The 10423-nt window shown below is 37.7% G+C and overlaps 1 protein-coding gene across 17 annotated transcripts in view; it reads left to right on the top strand.

Annotated features, from left to right (window-relative positions):
* The window catches only part of SORCS1 (sortilin related VPS10 domain containing receptor 1), a 607476-nt gene that overhangs the window by 532334 nt on the left and 64719 nt on the right, over positions 1–10423 (top strand). The window lies entirely within an intron of this gene.

Here is a 10423-nt window from a genome sequence, read left to right as displayed (position 1 = left end):
AGGAGGGCCTGTTCTCACCTAGGTCCCAGGGCAGGGGCCCAGGGGTGGAGCCCTAGCCAGGGACCAACGCCCTTCCCCCACTTCTGTATCATTTAAAGGGACCATTCCCTTCCCTTTCCAGCACTTCCTTCCATAGCAATATCTGTCATGTAAACCAATGTCTATAAAAAGAAATGCTAAAAATAATTCTTCACACATAAAGAAAATGACCCAGACAGAGACACACACACAAAATAATAGAAGGAATGAAGAGCAAGAAAGGGGGTAAATTGAAATTAATAATAACTGTGCAGACCAAGAATGATAATCAGCTGTGGGATTTAAAATATATGTAGCATTAAAATACATCAGAATAATAGCACAGTATGTGGAGCGAATTAAGTGGAGTTAAAGTAGTTTAAGGTTCATGATATATCTATAAAGAGATAAAAATACTAATATATATTAGACTCCAACGTATCCAAAATGTGTGCTTCAATATCTAGAGTAACAACTGAAGAAGTAGTAAGAGAATCTTATCATCAAGCTACTGACAGGGGAATTACAGTAACTTTAAAAGGGTTTCATTAATCCAAAGTAAGACAAGTAAAAGAGAAAAAAAAGAATATAATACAGTTGAGACAAATAGAAAACAAATACTAAAATGGTAGATATAGGAATGGTGCGGTGGATCCCAACATTTTGGGAGGCCAAGGTGGGAGGATCATTTGAGTCCAGGAGTTTGAGACCAGCTTGGACAACTACCAAAAAAATAAAAATAATTAAAAAAAATAGCCAGGCGTGGTGTCGTGTGTCTGTGGTCCCAGCTACTTGGGAGGCTAAGGTGAGAGAATCACTTGAGCACAGGAGTTCAAAGCTACAGTCAACCATAATTGCGCCACAGCACTCCAGCCTGGCTGACAGAGCGAGACCCTGTCTCAAACACATTAAAATTAAAATTAAAAAACGGTAGATATATACTCAAATATCAGTAATTATATTTTGAAAATTAGTGATTTTTGTCACTTCAGTGCTTTTTGTCAGGCTTAAGAAGTCTTTATCTAAACCAACATTGTGAAAAAAGTCATACCACAAGATTTCTCTTTAGGTTTCACATTAATGTGTATGATTTATCTTGAATAAAGCTCTTTCAGGTTTCTATATTTCATCCACATGCATATCCAATTGTCCCAATACCATTGAAAAACTGTTCATTTCACGCTGAATTGCTATGAGCCTTTGTCATAAATCAATTGACTATTTGTGGTTCCATTTCTAGGCACTCTATTCTGTTCCCTTGTGAATTTAAAACCTATCTTAATTACTAATTTCAAACACATGATATTTTCACTAGAGTTAGGGTGAGTCTTGATACCTGGACATATAAATCCTCTACACAAGTAGAAAATTGTGTGTGTGTGTGTGTGTGTGTGTGTAAAATTTATAATAGCATCAAAATACAACAAACATTTATACTCAAATCTAAAAACTTATTTTCAATAGCACTACCCAGAAAACAACACAAATTTGGAAATAAATTTTGAAAAATACCTGAATGAATGGAGGGATGCATCCTGATCATGGATTGGAAGACTCAGTATTATAAAAAGACATCAATTTTCTTCATATTGACTTGAATTAAAAGCAATCTGAATAAAAATCTCCAGCATGTTTTGTGTATTAAAATTGACAAGATCACAAAATTTACACAAAATTTCAAGACCTGAAGAATAGCAAAGATACTTTTGAAGGTGACTCACAAATTTGGATGACTGACATTACCATATATATATATATATATATATATATATATATATACACATACAAACACACATATATATACATATATATGTATGTATATCATAAACAAGCTGAACAAGGAGAGTCAAGAAACATATATACATGCATATATTATATATATATAGACACACACCCACCCACTTTATGACAAATGAGACACTGCAGTACAGTGGAGAAATTATAATCTTTTCAATACATGGGTGCTACAATTTTGAATATCCATATGGGAATACATGAATCTTTATCTCACATAATATACAAACATAATTATAACTGGATTGTCAATCAAAATTTGAAAGCTAATACTAACATTTATGTATTTATTTATTTTTTTTGAGTCTCACTCTGTCGCCCAGGCTGGAGTGCAGTGGCAAGATCTCAGCTCAACCGCAACCTCTGCCTCCTGGGGTCAAGCGATTCTCCTGCCTCAGTCTCCCGAGTAGCTGGAACTACAGGGGCATGCCACCACACCCAGCTAATTTTTGTATTTTTAGTAGAGACGGGGTCTCACCATGTTGGTCAGGCTCGTCTCGAACTCCTAAACTCAAGTGATCCTCCCACCTTGGCCTCCCAAAGTGCTGGGATAACAAGCGTGAGCCACCGTGCCCAACAATACTAACATTTCTAAAAGAAAGCACAGAAGAGTATCTTCATGACCTTGTGTTATGCAAAGACTTTTTTAAAACAGCAAAGAAAACCCATTTAGTATAAAGGAATTATACCAACAAATCTCTTTATAATTATACTAATTTTATTTTTATTTTTATTTTTTTGAGATGGAGTCTACCTTTGTCACCCAGACTGAAGTGCAAGTGGCATGATCTTGGCCGCCTCCCAGGTTTAAGCGATTCTCCTGCCTCACCCTCCTGAGTAGCTGGGATTACAGGTGCCAGCTACCACACCCAGCTAATTTTTGTATTTTTAGTAGAGACAAGGTTTCACCATGTTGGTCAGGCTGGTCTTGAACTCGTGACCTCAAGTGATCTGCCCACCTAAGCCTCTCAAAGTGCTGGGATTTACAAGCGTGAGCTACCACGCCCAGCCTAATTATACTAATTTTAAATAGGACTACATTAAAATTAAGAATTTCTGTTATTTAAGGCATTATTTCAAAAATAAAAAATTAAGTCCTAGAGGGGAGAAAGGTATCTATAATAATACGTTTTCAATAAGCTATTATTATTAAATTAAGCCCTAGAGGGAAAAAAGTATTTGTAATAATACCTTATTGAAAAGGTATTATTACAGTAATAAAATAATAAAATTATTTTGTTATGTTTTTTATTATTTTTATTATGCAAAATAAACATAATTTTAATGAGGGAATCATAATTAGAAGAGTATAAATAAATTCTACAAACTAATAAGGGAAACACTGGTAACTCAACAGAAAATGCACAAATGACTCAGAATAACCAAATAGCCAATAAGCATATGAAAAAATTCGGAACATCCCTATGTAATGCAACTTAATTTATAATAATATATCACTGTGCACCATCAGAAGGTTTACATTTTAAAAGACTAATAATAGGCTGGGTGCAGTGGCTTACACCTGTAATCCCAGCACTTTGGGAGGCCAAGGTGGGCAGATCACTTGAAGTCAGGAGTTCAAGACCAGCCTGGCCAACATGGCGAAACCCCATCTCTACTAAAAATACAAACAAACAAAAAACAGCTACAAACAAAATGAGCTGGGCATGGTGGCACGTGCCCGTAGTCCCAGCTACTTGGGAAGCTGAGGCAGGAGAATCGCCTGAACCTAGGAGGTGAAGGTTGCAGTGAGCTGAGATTGCACTACTACACTCCAGCCTGGTTGACAAAGTGAGACTCCCTCTCAAAAAAAAAAAAAAAATAATAAGACACCCTCTCAAAAAAAAAAAAATGCTAATAATATCAGGTGTTATTGAGTATGTGGAGCATCTGGTCATTCATATAATGCTATTTGGAGTGTAGATACATACTGCCATTTGGGACTTGTTTGACATTAACTGCTCTAGCTGAACATGTATACCACCTATGTCCCAGCGTTTCCACTTTTAAGTATATACTCATCAGAAATGCATACACATATGCACCAGAATGTATGTAAGATAATATGCATTGCAAAAGTATTCGTAAGAGCCCTCACTGGAAACAATCTAAACATTCATGAATAGTAGAATACATAAACTACAGTATATTTACAGAATGGAATGTCATACAGCAATGAAAAAGAGCAAACTAAAGCTATATGCAAAAAACTTGGATAAATGTCATATCCATTATTGAGCTAAAGAAGTCAGACTAAAAAGAATATATGTTGCATTATTCCATTTAATTAAAATGCAAAAATAGTCAAAGCTGTTAATAATTCATGGTGGCCGGGTGTGGTGGCTCACACTTGTAATCCTGGCACTTTGGGAGGCCAAGGCGGGCAGAACACAAGGTCAGGAGTTTGAGACCAGCCTAGCCATCACAGTGAAACCCCGTCTCTACTAAAAATACAGAAATTAGCTGGGCGTGGTGGTGGGCACCTGTAATCCCAGCTACTTGGGAGGTTGAGGCAGGAGAATTGCTTGAACCTGGGAGGCGGAGGTTGCAGTGAGCTGAGATCACACTACTGCACCCCAGCCTGGGTGACAAGAGCTAGACTCCGTCTCAATAATAATAATAATTATTATTATTATTCATGGTAATAGAAGGGAAAAATTATTGTTAACTTTGGAGGCGGAGTGATTGGAGAACTTTGAGTGTACTGGCAGTTTTCAGTTGGTTCATCTGGGCAGCAGCTAATGGATGCATTCACTTTGTAAAAATCAAGTTGTATATTTAGTGATTTGTACATTTTTAATGTATATTTTACTCAACAAAAAGCTTACTTAAAAATCATTTCAGAAATCCATATAAAATATAGTACTTTATATCTAGGTATTTGGGCAAAAAAAGGAAAAATAAGAAAAACCTTTCTGGTATGCTTAGGGCCGACCTTCCACCCTGTGTTTACCTGCAAGGTGAATGTGAAAGTTCTCTTCCCAGAGACATGAGACACCTGATCCTGATACCCAGAGAACTGTCATCTTTTGAAGCAGCAGATGTTTATACTATAGCAGAGTTCAGAAAGTTTTTCCGTTTCTAAGAACACAATATAGCAAGATCTGAAACAAGAACTTTCACTTCTGATTAGCTCCAACCTTTGTGCAAATGATAGAGAACACACTTCAGGGACAGAGGCCTGGTTCTCATCTGTTCAACTCTGCTTTCCATGTAATAAAGATCATCATCAGGCATCTCACACTGGGTTGAGTGATGTGGGAACAGATTGGGGAATCTGGTTCGAAGATATGTGAATTCATGCCTTCTGGGCACAAGAAGGAAAAAAGATAACAAGTCAGTTCACTCCACTTGAGTGGGCAAAGCTTCAACAGCAGGGATGAAATCTGCTGCCTCCAGCTGTCAGATCTGGTTTCTTGACACTCTGTTCTCCTGGTGCAGAGCACCAAGCCAAGAGCATCTTCTTTATATCAGGAGGCCCTGAGGACCTCACATGTGATTGTGAGATGCTGTGCTAATGATTCAGACTCCTCCTTGCAGAAAAAGACCCTCAATTTCTCTATGACCCTCTGGATTATATACGTAGGCACGGGAGGTGCACGTGATTGGCAATGCAGAATGAAGAGACACAGAGTGTCTCTGAAAAGCTGAGGAGAATTGACACTTGACACAATGATAATAATGTGATTATCCAACATTTATTGAGCACCACTGTTCCAGTTTGTGAGTGCTTTTCATGAATTATCTCACGTAGATCTTACAGCAACTCTATGCAAATAGGTGTTATTGTCATTTTGTTGTCATTTTATATGAGGCACAGAAAGGCAAGTAACTTACCTGAGATCACACAAATGCTAACTATTAGAGCCTAGGGTCTAATCCAGGATCTATGGTATCTTGTCTTTCTGTTGCTTCTCTCTATGGTGAAGGAACCATTTTCTAAGAAGAACTTCATGTAGCTCCTAAGCCTCTGTAGAAACCCACGGCTGGGATTATAAGTAGTCACAAAGATCAAGGAGTAGAAAGAAAAGGCCAAATCATCAATGACCAAAGCCAGTTTGGCCTGTGGCTCTTATATTCTTAGACACTAATCAATAAATCTACCAAAATTTTCCTCCTGGCTTCTCTGAGAATACTAATGGCTTGGGATCCATTTGTGGAAAAACATTTCAGCAAAGAGAGATGCGAAATCCTCTCTGGGTTCCCCCTCTTTGGAAAATGATGCCTTTGTTGAATGCCTAGTGTGCCTGACACTGTTTATCTATTCTAAAGAATATTGCAAAAACATAGGATATGAATGCAGCACCCAAGGAATTTAGAATACGTGTATTTCTTCAGAGGCTTGGGTATAAATTAAGCCATAATATTTTTTAATTAAATCCAAAACAAAGACAAAAAATCCCTGGCATGTGCCCCTACTAGCAATACATGGTGTCTTTATTCTCCTCAAAATCCATATGAGTGCATTTCTTATTTGAATTTGATCCTTCTGAATTTACTTTGAAAATAGTGCCTGAGTCTTGCCCCATTTCTGATATCAATTCTTTATAAAAACAGGGATCTTCTGATGTCAAAAGATCATGCTTCTGATGCCTGTAAAGAGCAAGTCCTCTAGGTACCAAAGAAACCTAGAGGTCCCTGCTAGGTTCTTATATGACATCACAGTGTGATTAATGCAGAGAGGGCAAAAGATTCACCTCCCCAAGTTGTTAACAATATTTTTTTCATGTGAGTACCAGAGCTTGTGCCTCTATCCATGTTAACTCATGGTTCAACTTTCTCCTACAGTCTTGTCTTCCTTCGATGGAGCTAGGTTGGCTTACGGACTGATCTAAGCCTCTTTTCTTTGTCCCAGTTACTTGCATACAAACCTCTCCATGTAATTTCCATCTCCTCTGCATTTCATCTAAACCATTAGAGACCTGAGGAATCAACTGTCTCAGCAAATAGTTAGATGTTTGTATTTATTTATTTGTTCTTTGACAAATATTTTACCAAGAGCCAATTTTATATCATGTACTTTTCATTCATTAATGGACTTACTTTAGTTTGTGGGAATATATGTTTTGGTTTGACTAGGACCTCTGTTATATTGAGTTTTAAGTAAAAATCTAATGACATGAAGTAGAAAGTGCCTAACACCTTATATCCATTGGAAATAAAAAAGATTAATAATAAATTATCTAAATATAATAAATTATAATGCAATAATTTATTGCATTATTTTGTAATAATATTTTTGGCATCCGCCAGTAAACTATACATATCTTTAAGGTAAGAATCATGTCACTCCTGATTGCAGTTCCCACATCTCTGTACAATGTGCCTAACATATTGATAGAAACTCAATAAATGTATGTGGATTTGGATAGCCTTCCCCAAGAAGCATAGAGATAAAACTGAAACTTAAAAGACTCTTAACATTTGAAAAACAGTCAAAACATGGTAAAGTCTTCATCTGAAATCTAAATCTCTTCCTTAATCCTTTCCTAGACATGCATTAGAATGCATGTCCTAATTCTAGCATAAGAATATCAATGAAAACATGGCTAAAACCGTAGCAAAGAGGAGCACTTCTTATTGACAGAAAATAATAAAAGGCTAGGTACACTGATACTAGTTTGCAATTTTACATACAGTAGTATGTACTCAAGCCAGAAAATTACAGATTTAATATGTGCAAGAAATGGGATTCTTTCCTGCAAATAGCATATGGGGTCACCCTCAAAACCTAGATGACAGAAATACCTCCATAACACAATTCCTCCAAAATCCCACAACTTAGCTCACCTGATATGTTACTCAGAGAGCCACATAGCTATTCTGAGGTTGATGAAAAATTCCAATGTCATCAATACCACCTGCCTCATTTCCTGCTGCTTTTAGGGTTCTCTCCAAGTGTACTCTCATGACAGAACCTTCATTAGCAGCAGAAGGCAAAGGAGCAGTCGTACTTCCATCCCAGACTCACTGTGGCAGATGCAAGAAGAACACACATGCACGCGCACACAAGCACACACAATGCATTTATGCATCATTATGGCCTTAAAAATAAAGAACAATTAATCCAAGAACCAACTGGAAGAGGAGTAGAGAAGTCCATAAAGTTGAGTCTAAGATGCCGGACATTTTCAAACCATGCCTGACTTTTAGAAAGCTGATTGAAGGTGTTTTGCACTGAGACCCAAGCATGCAGTGAGAGGTGGCATCTCTGTGCTTGGAGACTCACTCAAGATGGATGTCCTCTGGACCACTAATGAGAACCTAATGAGCCTATAGACTTTCAACACAATAACTCAGCTTCCCAGAGAAATCCAATGCAAGAACCTGAAGGCACAGGATAAATGGCAAAGGCCCCAATCAGTCTGAAGAACTCAACAAAACTGATTTGGGAGGCATTCGTTTGAGAGAACTGGTAGGCAGAAGTAGTATCTGCATATTAAGGAAGATAATTAAATCTGTTTTAAGCAGCTGTAAGAATAAAGAGATGCAATTCTCTGCATAATTTAAGACTTTTAAATTAAATCTGAGGCTAGGGACGAAAATTAAAACTTTGATCTGTATCTCATTGTCTTAATACTTCAATTTACATACAAAGACTGAAACTTAATAAGGAAAATTCATGATTATCACTTTTGTGAGATTTAACTCCAAAACATGAGGACTGTGTCCTCATTAGACAGGTTTCAATGATCCGTAATTTCACATACATTGAAAGACTTATGGGAGCACTAAAGTACCCACAGTGTAATAACACTTCATAAGTATTGCAGGATGCTGTCAGCCATCAGATGGTAGAGAAGATGGCTGTTGATAAAAATTTCTTCAAGATACTCACTTGTCTGAATTCATGACACAATTTGACCTGCTTTTTCATCTGGAGAAAAGGCTATTTGGAGCCTTTAGTGGTGGCACAAAGGGTTAATAAACAGTGTTATGTTGAGGCAGGCATCAGTTTCTTTTTCTTTCTTGTTTTTTTTTTGAGACACACCCTGTTGCCAGGCTGGAGTGCATTGGCGTGATCTTGGCTCACTGCGACCTCCACCTCCTGGGTTCAAGCAATTCTCCTCCCTCAGCCTCCCGAGTAGCTGGGGTAACAGGCACGTGCCACCACACCCAGGTAATTTTTGTATATTTAGTAGAGACGGAGTTTCACCATGTTGGCCAGGATGGTCTCGATCTCCTGACCTCGTGAGGCAGGTATCAGTTTCTAAGCCAGCTTAGTTCTGACGTAGATGCCTCAACTGTTTTCTCCCTCCATACAAAGGAGTGGAAGCTGATTTCGATGAGCCTTAGAGATTTGAGGCTTTCTCCTATGTTATTCCTTACTCCATTCAGCATTATTCTCTTTGACTCTAGTAAGGTAATTGAGCCACTTCATTTCTTCTTGCTTTTTGTTGTTGAAGGAAATGAGGCAGGCAATATAGGTTGTCTTTAGCCGGAAGCCTAATGTCTGAAGTTCAAGTTGGATTGGTTAGCAACTCTTTCTAAGTCTCCACTTCTCACTCCCCTCAAAACTAATCCACATATATTGGAATATTGCTGTTCTTTAGGGTCTCAAAGAAAAGATGTTTGCTAAGAACTTTAGTCTGACTTAGATACCTGGCTCATTACTGACAGTTCCAGTTCGGCAAACATCCCAGAGGCTAGATTCATGAAATAGTCTTCAGTTTGGATTTTCAATCTCCTAGTCTGCCTACTTGAGGCCCTAACAATACTAATGTCCCACTTCATCCACATGGGTGGTCACTACCCCTGAATCAGGGTTTCACCACACCATGCAATCCTCGCCTGAGTGAGTAACTTCCTCAGGCTTCTGGCTTTGCACTTTGCCATTTATTATTCCATGACCCTCTGCTCAGCCGCTCAGTCCTCAAGCTGGTCTACCATTAATGTGCAGTGGTAAGTCTCTACCTATGACAGCAGCACTTGAATCAGTTCTGCATCTTTACCTGAGATCTGAGCTTATCTCAGCAGCTCAAATTGACGTTAGAATATATATATGTATATGTGGATGCACAATAATGCCAATAACAAGAATAATAGAATTGTAAAAATCACAGATTATCTGACTTGGAAGTGACAATTAGGATCATCAGGTCCTACCATCTTTAATTTACAGGTAGAGAAATTGAGGTCCAAATAAACAATGTTTTTTGAAGGACACAAAACTAGGTCTTCTAATTCCCAGGTTGCCACCTGACTTTTGTAGGGCACCTCTTTCACATACAGCACCTCTTTAAAATAAATTACACAACAACCTAATAATTTAGAAGGGGGATGAAGTGACTTCCAGGGCAAGAAATCATATATCCATTTCATAGAAGAGGTCTTATGACTTGGTGAAGACCACCAAGTGATACTAGGTATAAAAGTTTAAGCTATTTAAACATATTGACTGCATAATGCTAAAAATAGTATAGTGATTCCAGTGTTATAGGGGTGGTATCTGTGTCCATGTGCATTCTCATTGATTAAAATGATATTCACCAACAAGGTAATCTGTGGGTGATATAATTATGGGTGATTTTAATTTTCTTTGTCATTATTTTATGTATTTCTGTATTTTCCCAATGAATGTACCGTGCCTTTTTTTTTCTTTATTCTAATA

The sequence above is a fragment of the Homo sapiens genome, chromosome 10, assembly GCF_000001405.40.
Source record: "Homo sapiens chromosome 10, GRCh38.p14 Primary Assembly".
Lineage (NCBI taxonomy): Eukaryota > Metazoa > Chordata > Mammalia > Primates > Hominidae > Homo > Homo sapiens.
The sequence above is the reverse complement of the archived record's forward strand: the minus strand, read 5'-3'. Positions and strand labels throughout refer to the sequence as shown.